General features: G+C 37.9%; 1 annotated feature.

The window, feature by feature from the left end:
• Positions 2480-3086: an enhancer, noted in NCBI's record as "H3K27ac-H3K4me1 hESC enhancer chr8:129757123-129757729 (GRCh37/hg19 assembly coordinates)". NCBI's record gives its function as "activates a minimal SCP1, AML or CMV promoter by ChIP-STARR-seq in naive H9 embryonic stem cells {active_cell/tissue: H9 hESC(naive)}" and the evidence as "EXISTENCE:reporter gene assay evidence [ECO:0000049][PMID:30033119]".

A 15012-nucleotide genomic window follows, 5' to 3' on the forward strand; every position in this document is an offset into this window, starting at 1 on the left:
GAACATTCCCATTAATCTCTCTCTGCTGTTTCTTGAAACCCCACTTAAAAGAACAGTGAAGAGATTTCTCTAAAAGGCATACATTCATGAAGTCAAAAAGAGAAGAAACAAACAATTTCAACAATATTTTGCAAAGAGTTCTTGAAAACTAAACGTATAATGGTCAAATGAAAAAATGAATAGGAGATTTGGAAGATAAATTGAAAGAAAACTCCCCCCAAAACAGTACAAAGAAATGGAAGATAATACAGACATTTTAGAAGATAATCCAGAAAGTAGAATAAAGACAAATAGGGAAAAATTGAAGAGTAAGATTTTTTAAAAAAACTAAAACATCAATATGAGAGGTAAAGGCCTGAATTCTAAGAGTTTCAGAAAATGAAAAATCAAGGCAGTTATGATTGCCTTCACTGCTGTCAGACTTGACTTCACACGATTAACAATTAGAAAATGGAACAAAATTTATAAGAGCTGTTTTTATAGATTGTACAATAGGTAACACAGGACTGTAATCTTTGAATAAAGAGAAACAAATAAGATAAACCCTATGATACTCCAGGCTTTCCATCTAGCATTGCATTCCAGGCTGCCTACAAGAAGGCTGTGTTGGTTTGCCAGGGCTATTGTAACAAAATACCACAGACTGGGTGGCTTAAATAACAAAAAGCTATTTTTTCACAGTTCTGGAGTTTGGAAGTCCAAGATCAGGTTTGGTTTCTTCTGAGGCTTCTCTGCTTGGCTTGTAGATGCCTGCTCTCTCGCTGTATTCTCATCTGGTCTTTTTTTCTTGCATGTGCATTCCTGGAATCTCCTGTAGGTCCAAACTTCCTCTTATAAGGACACCAGTCCAATTGGATAAGGTCCAATTGGTCTTTGAGGACTATTGGCCTCATTTTAACTTAATTACCTTTTTTTTTTTTTTGAGAAGGAGCTTCACTCTTGTCACCCAAGCTGGAGTACAGTGGCGTGATCTTGGCTTATTGCGACCTCTGCCTCCCAGATTCAAGTGATTCTCCTGCCTCAGCCATCTGAGTAGCTGTGATTACAGTCACCTGCCACCACACCTGGCTAATTTTGTTTTTTTTTTTTGTTGTTGTTGTTGTTGTTGTTTTAGTAGAGATGGGGTTTCACTATGTTGGCCAGGCTGGTCTCAAACTCCTGACCTCACATAATCTGCCCACTTTGGCCTTTCAAAGTGCTGAGATTACAGGCATGAGCCACCATCCCTGACTTTTAATAATTACCTATTAAAGGCCCTACATTCAAATCCAGTTAGATTCTGAGGTATGGGGATTAGAGCTTTAATAGATAAATTTACAGGGAACACAATTCATTCCATAAAAAAGACCAAATCTAATACAAGCTCAACAATCTTACTAAGTTAAAGAGGCAAAGATAAAAGTTCAAGACATTGAGTCCTGCAGATTTTGTGGGACAGAGTACCCAGAAAGAGGATATACATAAAGCAAAAGATATCCTTAAATCTGCCTAGGTATCCCCTTCCTGCCCAGGTGTGAAGTAAGAGTCTAGTCTAAAAGTCTAGCCAAAAATCAGTTACTCAAAGAAGAAAATAACTACTAAAAAGCTGTAAAATAAACAATTACCAGAGCTGACAAAGGTTATAAAGTGTTGGACTTCTAAACAGGACCATCAGTAGGGACCTCAAAAAGGCCATATCATAGTAGTAGTACAAAACTAATTCTATAGTAAAGGAAACACTAGAGCCACCTAGAGAAAATTTAAAAACAAGCTTCAAAATGGCCAAGACTATGTGCAAAGAACAAACATATTTGACAAAACGAAACTCAACATTTGTTAAAAATAGTCAACAAAATCATACACTACACAATGTAACATTCAATGTGTTAAGCATCTAGTCTAAAATTACTAGACATGCAAAGAAGCAGTAAAATGTAATTCATTATCAGGAGAACAATTAATAAAAACAAACTCAGAAATGACAGCACTGTTGGAATTAGCAAGCAAATAAGAGCTTTATAACTTTATGTTCAATAATTTCAAGGAAAGCATGGACAAGATGATGAATGAAATGGAAGCCATAAAAAAGAACCCAACAGAACATCTAAAAATAAAAATGAAATTTTGGAAATTAAAAAGAATATATATTTGATAGACTTAGCAAATTAAACACTACAGGATGAAGTAAAAGTGAACTCATTGGCATAACAATTAGATAGTATCCAGAGAGGGAGGAGCCAAGATGGCCAAATAGGAACAGCTCCGGTCTACAGCTCCCAGCCTGAGCGACGCAGAAGACGGGTGATTTCTGCATTTCCATCTGAGGTACCGGGTTCATCTCACTAGGGAGTGCCGGACAGTGGGCGCAGGTCAGTGGGTGCGCGCACCGTGCGCGAGCCGAAGCAGGGCGAGGCATTGCCTCACTCCGGAAGCGCAAGGGGTCAGGGAGTTCCCTTTCCTAATCAAAGAAAGGGGTGACGGACGGCACCTGGAAAATCGGGAAAATCGGGTCACTCCCACCAGAATACTGCGCTTTTCCGACGGGCTTAAAAAACAGCGCACCACGAGATTATATCCCCCACCTGGCTCGGAGGGTCCTACGCCACGGAGTCTCGCTGATTGCTAGCACAGCAGTCTGAGATCAAACTGCAAGGCGGCAGTGAGGCTGGGGGAGGGGCGCCCACTATTGCCCAGGCTTGCTTAGGTAAACAAAGCATCCGGGAAGCTCGAACTGGGTGGAGCCCACCGCAGCTCAAGGAGGCCTGCCGGCCTCTGTAGGCTCCACCTCTGGGGGCAGGGCACAGACAAACAAAAAGACAGCAGTAACCTCTGCAGACTTAAATGTCCCTGTCTGACAGCTTTGAAGAGAGCAGTGGTTCTCCCAGTACGCAGCTGGAGATCTGAGAACGGGCAGACTGCCTCCTCAAGTGGGTCCCTGACCCCTGACTCCTGAGCAGCCTAACTGGGAGGCACCCTCCAGCAGGGGCACACTGACACCTCACACTGCAGGGTACTCCAACAGACCTGCAGCTGAGGGTCCTATTAGAAGGAAAATTAACAAACAGAAAGGACATCCACACCAAAAACCCATCTGTACATCACCATCATCAAAGACCAAAAGTAGATAAAACCACAAAGATGGGGAAAAAACAGAGCAGAAAAACTGGAAACTCTAAAAATCAGAACGCCTCTCCTCCTCCAAAGGAATGCAATTCCTCACCAGCAACAAAACAAAGCTGGACCGAAAATGTCTTTGAGGAGCTGAGAGAAGAAGGCTTCAGACGATCAAATTACTCTGAGCTATGGGAGGACATTCAAACCAAAGGCAAAGAAGTTGAAAACTTTGAAAAAAAATCTAGAAGAATGTATAACTAGAATAACCAATACAGAGAAGTGCTTAAAGGAGCTGACGGAGCTGAAAGCCAAGGCTCCAGAACTACGTGAAGAATGCAGAAGACTCAGGAGCCGATGCGATCAACTGGAAGAAAGGGTATCAGCGATGGAAGATGAAATGAATGAAATGAAGCGAGAAGGGAAGTTTAGAGAAAAAAGAATAAAAAGAAATGAGCAAAGCCTCCAAGAAATATGGGACTATGTGAAAAGACCAAATCTACGTCTGATTGGTGTACCTGAAAGTGATGGGGAGAATGGAACCAAGTTGGAAAACACTCTGCAGGATATTATCCAGGAGAATTTCCCCAATCTAGCAAGGCAGGCCAATGTTCAGATTCAGGAAATACAGAGAACGCCACAAAGATCCTCCTCGAGAAGAGCAACTCCAAGACACATAATTGTCAGATTCACCAAAGTTGAAATGAAGGAAAAAATGTTAAGGGCAGCCAGAGAGAAAGGTCGGGTTACCCTCAAAGGGAAGCCCATCAGACTAACAGCGGATCTCTCGGCAGAAACTCTACAAGCCAGAAGAGAGTGGGGGCCAATATTCAACATTCTTAAAGAAAAGAATTTTCAACCCAGAATTTCATATCCAGCCAAACTAAGCTTCATAAGCGAAGGAGAAATAAAATACTTTACAGGCAAGCAAATGCTGAGAGATTTTGTCACCATCAGGCCTGCCCTAAAAGAGCTCCTGAAGGAAGTGCTAAACATGGAAAGGAACAACCGGTACCAGCCACTGCAAAATCATGCCCAAATGTAAAGACCATCAAGACTAGGAAGAAACTGCATCAACTAACGAGCAAAATAACCAGCTAACTTCATCATGACAGGATCAAATTCACACATAACACTATTAACTTTAAATGTAAATGGACTAAATGCTCCAATTAAAAGACACAGACAGGCAAACTGGATAAAGAGTCAAGACCCATCAGTGTGCTGTATTCAGGAAACCCATCTCACGTGCAGAGACACACATAGGCTCAAAATAAAAGGATGGAGGAAGATCTACCAAGAAAATGGAAAACAAAAAAAGGCAGGGGTTGCAATCCCAGTCTCTGATAAAACAGACTTTAAACCAACAAAGATCAAAAGAGACAAAGAAGGCCATTACATAATGGTAAAGGGATCAATTCAACAAGAAGAACTAACTATCCTAAATATATATGCACCCAATACAGGAGCACCCAGATTCATAAAGCAAGTCCTGAGTGACCTACAAAGAGACTTAGACTCCCACACATTAATAATGGGAGACTTTAACACCCCACTGTCAACATTAGAGACAGATCAACGAGACAGAACGTCATCAAGGATACCCAGGAACTGAACTCAGCTCTGCACCAAGCGGACCTAATAGACATCTACAGAACTCTCCACCCCAAATCAACAGAATATACATTCTTTTCAGCACCACACCACACCTATTCCAAAATTGACCACATAATTGGAAGTAAAGCTCTCCTCAGCAAATGTAAAAGAACAGAAATTATAACAAACTGTCTCTCAGACCACAGTGCAATCAAACTAGATCTCAGGATTAAGAATCTCACTCAAAACCGCTCAACTACATGGAAACTGAACAACCTGCTCCTGAATGACTACTAGGTACATAACGAAATGAAGGCAGAAATAAAGATGTTCTTTGAAACCAACGAGAACAAAGACACAACATACCAGAATCTCTGGGACGCATTCAAAGCAGTGTGCAGAGGGAAATTTATACCACTAAATGCCCACAAGAGAAAGCAGGAAAGATCGAAAATTGACACCCTAACATCACAATTAAAAGAACTAGAAAAGCAAGAGCAAACACATTCAAAAGCTAGCAGAAGGCAAGAAATAACTAAGATCAGAGCAGAACTGAAGGAAATAGAGACACAAAAAACCCTTCAAACAATTAATGAATCCAGGAGCTGGTTTTTTGAAAGGATCAACAAAATTGATAGACCGCTAGCAAGACTAATAAAGAAAAAGAGAAGAATCAAATAGATGCAATAAAAAATGATAAAGGGGATATCACCACCGATCCCACAAAAATACAAACTACCATCAGAGAATACTACAAACACCTCTACGCAAATAAACTAGAAAATCTAGAAGAAATGGATAAATTCCTCGACACATACACTCTCCCAAGACTAAACCAGGAAGAAGTTGAATCTCTGAATAGACCAATAACAGGAGCTGAAATTGTGGCAATAATCAATAGCTTACCAACCAAAAAGAGTCCAGGACCAGATGGATTCACAGCCGAATTCTACCAGAGGTACAAGGAGGAACTGGTACCATTCCTTCTGAAACTATTCCAATCCATAGAAAAAGAGGGAATCCTCCCTAACTCATTTTATGAGGCCAGAATCATCCTGATACCAAAGCCGGGCAGAGACACAACCAAAAAAGAGAATTTTAGACCAATATCCTTGATGAACATTGATGCAAAAATCCTCAATAAAATACTGGCAAACCGAATCCAGCAGCACATCAAAAAGCTTATCCACCATGATCAAGTGGGCTTCATCCCTGGGAGGCAAGGCTGGTTCAATATATGCAAATCAATAAATGTAATCCAGCATATAAACAGAGCCAAAGACAAAAACCACATGATTATCTCAATAGATGGAGGAAAGGCCTTTGACAAAATTCAACAACCTTTCATGATAAAAACTCTCAACAAATTAGGTATAGATGGGACATATTTCAAAATAATAAGAGCTATCTATGACAGACTCACAGCCAATATCATACTGAATGGGCAAAAACTGAAAGCATTCCCTTTGAAAACTGGCAAAAGACAGGGATGCCCTCTCTCACCACTCCTATTCAACATAGTGTTGGAAGTTCTGGCCAGGGCAATTAGGCAGGAGAAGGAAATAAAGGGTATTCAATTAGGAAAAGAGGAAGTCAAATTGTCCCTGTTTACAGATGACATGATTGTATATCTAGAAAACCCCATTGTCTCAGCCCAAAATCTCCTTAAGCTGATAAGCAACTTCAGCAAAGTCTCAGGATACAAAATCAATGTGCAAAAATCACAAGCATTCCTATACACCAACAACAGACAAACAGAGAGCCAAATCATGAGTGAACTCCCATTCACAATTGCTTCAAAGAGAATAAAATACCTAGGAATCCAACTTACAAGGGATGTGAAGGACCTCTTCAAGGAGAACTACAAACCACTGCTGAAGGAAATAAAAGGATACAAACAAATGGAAGAACATTCTATGCTCATGGGTAGGAAGAATCAATATCGTGAAAATGGCCATACAGCCCAAGGTAATTTACAGATTCAATGCCATCCTCATCAAGCTACCAATGACTTTCTTCACAGAATTGGAAAAAACTCTTTAAAGTTCATATGGAACCAAAAAAGAGCCCGCATCGCCAAGTCAATCCTAAGCCAAAAGAACAAAGCTGGAGGCATCACACTACCTGACTTCAAACTATACTACAAGGCTACAGTAACCAAAACATCATGGTACTGGTACCAAAACAGAGATATAGATCAATGGAACAGAACAGAGCCCTCAGAAATAACGCCGCATATCTACAACTATCTGATCTTTGACAAACTTGAGAAAAACAAGCAATGGGGAAAGGACTCCCTATTTAATAAATGGTGCTGGGAAAACTGGCTAGCCATATGTAGAAAGCTGAAACTGGATCCCTTCCTTACACCTTATACAAAAATCAATTCAAGATGGATTAAAGACTTAAACGTTAGACCTAAAACCATAAAAACCCTAGAAGAAAACCTAGGCATTACCATTCAGGACATAGGCATGAGCAAGGACTTCATGTCTAAAACACCAAAAGCAATGGCAACAAAGACAAAATTGACAAATGGGATCTAATTAAACTAAAGAGCTTCTTCACAGCAAAAGAAACTACCATCAGAGTGAACAGGCAACCTACAAAATGGGAGAAAATTTTCACAACCTACTCATCTGACAAAGGGCTAATATCCAGAATCTACAATGAACTCAAACAAATTTACAAGAAAAAAACAAACAACCCCATCAAGAAGTGGGCAAAGGACATGAACAGACACTTCTCAAAAGAAGACATTTATGCAGCCAAAAAACATATGAAAAAATGCTCACCGTCACTGGCCATCAGAGAAATGCAAATCAAAACCACAATGAGATACCATCTCACACCAGTTAGAATGGCAATCATTAAAAAGTCAGGCAACAACAGGTGCTGAAGAGGATGTGGAGAAATAGGAACACTTTTACATTGTTGGTGGGACTGTAAACTAGTTCAACCATTGTGGAAGTGAGTGTGGCGATTCCTCAGGGATCTAGAACTAGAAATACCATTTGACCCAGCCATCCCATTACTGGGTATATACCCAAAGGACTATAAATCAGGCTGCTATAAAGACACATGCACACGTATGTTTATTGTGGCATTATCCACAATAGCAAAGACTTGGAACCAACCCACATGTCCAACATTGATAGACTGGATTAAGCAAATGTGGCACATATACACCATGGAATACTATGCAGCCATAAAAAATGATGAGTTCACGTCCTTTGTAGGGACATGGATGAAATTGGAAACCATCATTCTCAGTAAACTATCGCAAGAACAAAAAACCAAACACCGCATATTCTCACTCATAGGTGGGAATTGAACAATGAGATCACATGGACACAGGAAGGGGAATATCACACTCTGGGGACTGTTGTGGGGTGGGGGGAGGGGGGAGGGATAGCATTGGGAGATATACCTAATGCTAGATGAAGAGTTAGTGGGTGCAGCGCACCAGCATGGCACATGTATACGTATGTAACTAACCTGCACAATGTGCACATGTACCCTAAAACTTAAAGTATAATAATAAAAAAAATTAAAAAAAACAAAACAAAACAAAAAACAATTAGATAGTATCCAAAATGAAGCATAGAGAAAAAAAATAGTTTAAAAAAACAACTTCAGGAATCTGTAACACAATATTATGCTGTCTAACATACATGTAATTGGAGTATCAAAGAGAAAAAGAAGAGAAGTTGCAGGAAGAGTGTTTAAAAATATACTGGCCCAAACTTAAAAAAAAACAATGAAGCGTATAAACACATAGATCAAAGAAACTCTGCATTCACCAAGAAGGATAATTGAAAGAAAACAAAACCAAAGTCTCTCATTATCAAATTGCTAAAGACAGAAATCATGAAAATCTTAAAGTAGCCAGAGTAAAAACCATACATTGTATATGAGATAAAGTCAAGACTAATCGCTGAATTCTCATCAGAATAAATCCAAGCCAGAAGACAACAGAATCACATTAATGTTTGAAAAAACAATAAAATATCATCAAGATACTATTTCATTTTATGTGAAAATATTCTTCATAAGTAAAAATTAAAACATGACATTTTTCAGGCAAACAAAAAACAGAAAATTTATCATCAGTAAAACTGCACTACCAAAAAATATTAAAGAAATTATTCAAGTTGAAGGGATATAATACCACATGTAAGTCTGGATCTACTCAAAGAAATGAAGGATACTAGAAATAGCAAACATGAGGATAAAGATTTTTTGAAATGGTTTTTTATAATGTTTTATATTATAGTTGTAAAAATGTATAACAATAGCACAAACTGTATGATGGAGAAATGGAAATGTATTGTGTAACATTCTTGTATTTCTTGAAATGGCAAATAGACTTTGAAGATAGTAAAGATTGATTATAACAAGTTAGAGATACATATTGTAAAGCCCAGAGCAGCCACTAAAACTTAAAGAGAGATATAGCTAGTAAATCAATAGAGGACACGGAATGAAATATTAAATATTAGTCAACACAAATAAGGCAGCAAAAGAGAAAAACGAGAAAAACTACAGATAAAACAAATATAAAGTAAACACTAATATAATAGCTTTAGATCCAACCATATTGATAAATATATTATATGCCAATGATCTAAAGAAAGACTCCAACTAAATGCAAAGGCACAACCCAATCATATTCTGTCAACAAGAAACACTCTTGAAATACAAAAACATAGATAAGTTAAAAATGATGAAAAACATATTCAATGCAAGCACTAGTCATAAGGAATACTAAATGGCTGTATTATTATCTTATAAATTAGACTTTAGATCAAATAATATTGCTTGTAATTCATTTAGATAATGGCATTTTATAACGATAAAATAGTTTATCAAGGCACATTCTTAAGTATGTGTGCACTTAGAACAATGGTTCAACATTTTTAAAGCAAAAACTGACCAAACTGAAAAAAGACACATCCAAAATGGTGGTTACACACCTGAACTCTTTTCTTGATAGGGATAAAAAAGTAGAAAGAAAATAAGGACAGATGTAGAACATGTGGGCAATGTTATTAACCAACCTGACATAACTGATATTTTTAGAGCTCTTCAAGTGTCCACTAACATTCACCAACATTCACCAAGATAAGTCATGTGCTGGGTCATAAAACTGGAATGAATTAATTTAAAGAGGTCAAAAATATACAGAGTATTACTTCTAGCCACAACAGTATAAAATTAGAAATATGAGAAAAATACATAAACATTTTTAGAAGACCCCAAATATTTGGAAATTCTAAAAAAATCTAAATAATTCTAAATTAGTTCATAACACTAAATGTTTTTGGTAGAAAACAAAGACAGATTTAAAGTCAATAATCTAAGCTTTCACATTAAGAAGCTATAAAAAAGGAAATTCAACCCCAAATAAGTAGAAGGTAAATAATAATTACAAAAATCAATGAAATACAAAATGTTAAACAATAGAGAATAGAAATAAAACAAAAATCTGTCTTTTTAAAAAGATTGGCAGTTGATATTTTTCTTAGGAAACTAAAAAGAGAGAGAGGGAGAGGACAAATAGCAATATTCAGAGTGAAATGCAGATGTAACTACAGATACTATGAATATTAAATTGTACCTGATGAATATTATGAACAATTCTATGTCAATAAATCTAACAATACAGATAAAATGCACATATTCCCTAAATGATATAAGTTATCAAAATGGATATAGGAAGAATAGAAAATATTAATATATCTATTTTTAAAATACAATTTGTGAACATGAGCCTTTCCACAAAGAAAATTTCAGTCCTGAGTATTTTCATTTGTCAATTTTATTAAACACTTTAAAAAGAAATTATATCCATCTTACACAATCTCAGATAACAGGGAAGGAGGAGACATATTTTAGTGGAATTTTTAGGCCAACATTACCCTAACACTTAAACTGAAAATAAATATTATATAAGAAAAGATAACTATAAACTAATACTTTTCATGAAGATAAAAAAGAAAATCCTTCACAAGGTATTAACAAATTAAATCTAACAAAATATAATACATCATGACCAACTGGGTTTTATTTTAGAAATACCAAGTTAATACGACATTTAAAAGTCAAGCAGTGTAATTCACCATACTAACAGAATAAAAGATAAAAATCATATGATTATTTCAAGAAATGAAAAAAAAACTATGAAAAAATTCCCAGCAAAATGCATCTAAAAAACCCTACAGCTATCATTATATATTACGGTTTGTGATTTAATGTTTTCTCTAGAAGAAGAGAAATAAGAAAATGTCCACTATCACTACTTCTATTCAACAACAAATTAGAGGTCCTGGCCATTGTAGTAGTGCGTGTAAGACGAAATAAAAGTTATATAGATTGGAAATAAATAAATAAAATTATCCTTCTTATGGACAACATCACATACATAAAAAGTTTTGTGAATTAAGTAAGGTTATACAACACAATGTCATTATACAAACATCATTTGCCTATTTACATACTAGTAACAAATTTTAGAAAAATGAAATTTAAAATTAAATTTTATAAAAGTTTAATAAAACATAAAATACTTAGGGACAAGTTTGACAAAATATAAATAATACCTGCACACTGAAAGCTATAAAACAGTATTGGGAGAACAAAAAGGAAGATATAAATAAATGAAGAAATATATCTTGCTCATGAATTGGAATACTTTATATTGTCAAGATGTCAATTTCTTCCAGGTTGATATACAGATTCAATGTGACCCCAATCCAAACCCTGATAGACTATCTTTAAATAAGAATTGGCATGCTGAGGGTGGAGCAAGATGGCTGAATAGAAGCCTCCACCAATTATTCCCTCTGTAGGAACACCAAATTTTAACACTATCTGCACACTAAAAAGCACCTTCATAAAAGCGCAAATCAAGTGAGCACTGATAGTACCTGGTTTTAATTTCATGTCACTGAAAGAGGAACTACAGAGGCTAGGCAAGAAAATCTTATATCATCAATGCCACTTCTCCCCACTCCCCAGGCAGTGACTATATGGCATAGGGAAAGAATCTGTGCACTTGAGAGAAGGAGAGCATATGAACTGGGGAACTTTGCATTGAACTCAGTGCTGCCCTGTCACAGCAGAAAACAAAATGACACTGACTCAGTTGGCACCTTTCCACAGAGGAAGCATTTGGACCCGACCTAGACAGAGGGGAAGTGCCCAACCCAGTGGTCGGTACCTGAGTTTCTCAACAAGCCTTGCCACTAGGAGTTAAGTGCTCTGGGGTTCTAAGTGAACTTGAAAGGCAGGCTAAGACACAAGGATTCCAATTCTTGAGAAGTTCTGATGCTGTGCTGGGCTTAGAGCCAGTGGACTGGGGCAGTGCCTGACCTACTGAGACATCAGACAGAGGGACTGAGGAAGTGCTATGCCACCCACCCAAAACCCTGTGCAATGCAGCTCACAGCAATGACAGTGACTGCTTCTTTCCACTCTAGAAGAGAAAAGCATAAAGAGGATTTTGTCTTGTATCTTAGATACCAGCTCAGCCACAGGAGGACAGGGCACTAGACAGAGTCATGGGGCCCCCATCCCAGGCTCTAGCTCCTGGACATTTCCAGACACACTTTGGGCCAGAAAGGAACCCACAGCCTTGAAGGGAGAGACCCAGTCCTGGCCGTATTCAGCACCTTCTGACTAAGGAATCCTTGGGCGCTGAATAACCAACAGTATACCATGAACCTTTCGTAAGACTTACTTAGAGATGTGCTGGTTTCAGGTACCAGCTCAGCCAAAGTAGGGTAGAGCACCAAGCAGCCTCTTGGGGTCCCTCGATCCTGACCTAGGCTGTTGGAAAACATTTCTGGACCTTCCCCAGGCCAGAGAGGATCCAACTTCCTGGAAGAGGGAGTTGAGGCCTAGCAGCATTAACCATGAGCTGACTGAAGAGCCCATGGAGGCTAAGTGAACACAAGTGGTAACCTTCCAGAACTCTCAGTGTGCCAGTGGTTGTGACAGCCATGGGGAGAGGCAGCACTACCTGTGGAAAGGAGAGAGAAGAGTGGAAGAACTTTGCCTTGTGGTTTGAGTGCCAGCTTAGCTGTAGTAGAATAGAATAGCAGGTAGATTTCTAAGGTTTTTGACTTCAACTCCTGCCTCCCAGACAAAAACCCTGAACCCACCTAGAGCATAGGGGAATTTGTTGCCCTGAAAGGAAGGATATAAACTTGGCTTGCTTTACCACCTGCTGACTGTAGAGCTCTAGGGCTTTGAGTGAACACAGATGGTAGTCAGGTAGTGGTTACATTAGGCCTTGGGCAGGACCCAGTTCCATGCTGGCTTCAGGCCTGACCCATGGTGGTTCCATTGGTGGTAACCACAGTGGTGCTTGTGTCACCCCACCATCAGCTCCAGATGGCTCAGCAAAGACACAGAGGAGACTCAGTTATTTTGGGAGAAGGTAAGGGAAGAGAACAAGAATCTCTGGTAATCCAGAGAATTCTTTCCAATCTTATCCGAGACCACAAGGTGGTACCTCTATGAGCCTGCAAAAACCACAACATTACTGGGTTCAGGGTGCAAGTCCCTTTGAATACCTGGAAAGTCTTCACAAGAAGAGCAGGCACAAACAAGCCAGACTGTGATGACTACAATAAATAACTAACTCTTAAATGCCCAGACACTGACAAATATCTACAAGCATCAAGATCAGCCATGAAAACATGACCTCATCAAACAAACTAAATAAGGCACCAGGAGCCAATCTTGGAGAAACAGGAATTATGTGAACTTTCAGATAAAGAATTTAAAATAGTTGTTTTGAAGAAACTCAAAGAAATTCAAGATAACACAGTGAAAGAATTCAGAATTCTATCAGACACATTTAACAGGAGTTAAAATAATTGAAAAGAGTCAAGCAGAAATTCTAGAGTTGAAAAATGCAATTGACATACTGAAGAATGCCATCAGTCTCTAAATAGCAGAATTGATCAAACAGAAGAAAGAATTGCTGAGCTTGAAGAAATAATATTTGAAAATACATAGGCAGAGGAGACAAGAGAAAAAAATGCAAAACAGTAAAGCACACCTACAAAATCTAGAAAATTATGTCAAAAGAGCAAATCAAAGATATTGGCCTTAAAGAGGAGGTAGAGAAAAAGATAAGAGGAGAAAGTTTATTCAAATAGATAATATTAGAGAACTTCCCAAACTTAGAGAAAGATATCAATATTGAAGTACAAGGTTATAGAAGACCAAGCAGATTAAACCCAAAGAAGACTATATCAAGGCATTTAATAATCAAATTCTCAAAGGTCAAGGATAAAGAAAGAATCCCAAGAGCAATAAGAGAAAACAAACAAATAACATACAATGGAACTACAAAACGTCTGGCAGCAGGCTTTCAGTGGAAACCTTGCAGGCAAGAGAGAGTGGAATGACATATTTCAAGTGTTAAAGAAAACAAACATTTACCCTAGAATAGAATACCTGGTGAAAATGTTCTTCAAACGTAAAGGATAAATAAAAGCTTTCCCAGACAAACAAAAGCTGAGGGATTTCAACAATATCAGATCTGTCCAACAATACATGCTAAAGGGAGTTCTTCAATCAGAAAGGAAAGGATGTGAGTGTGCAATAAGGAATCATCTGAAGGTATGAAACTCACTGGTAATAGTAAGTATGCATGAAAACAAAAATTATTATAATATCGTAATTATGGTGTGTAAATTACTCTTATATTAAGTAGAAAGACTAAATTATGAACCAATCAAAAATAACAACGATAAGTTTTCAAAACATAGACACTACAAATAAAACGTAAAGAGGAACAACAGAGAGTTAAAAAGCAGGGAGACAAAATTAAAGTTGAGAGTTTTTATTAGTTTTCTTTTGCTTGTTTGTTTATGCAATCCATTTTTGTCATCAGTTTAAAATAACAAGTTATGGCAGGGCACGGTGGCTCATGCCTGTAATCCCAGCACTTTGGGAGGCCAAGGCTGGTGGATCACCTGAGGTCAGGAGTTCGAGACAAGCCTGGCCAACACGGTGAAACCCAGTCTCTCCTAAAAATACAAAAACTAGCAAGGCATGATGCCTGTAATCCCAACTACTCAGGAGGCTGAGGCAGGAAAATCACTTGAGCCTGGGAAGCAGAGGTTGCAGTGAGCCGAGATCGTGCCATTGCACTCCAGCCTGGGTGACAAGAGTGAAGCTGTCTCAAAATAAATAAATAAAAATAATAAGTTATAAGATAGTATTTGCAAGTCTTATGGTAATCTGAAATCAAAAAATATACAAGGTATACACAAAAAATCGAAAGCAAAAAATTAAAACATACTATCA

The sequence above is a fragment of the Homo sapiens genome, chromosome 8, assembly GCF_000001405.40.
Source record: "Homo sapiens chromosome 8, GRCh38.p14 Primary Assembly".
Classification (NCBI taxonomy): Eukaryota; Metazoa; Chordata; class Mammalia; order Primates; family Hominidae; genus Homo; species Homo sapiens.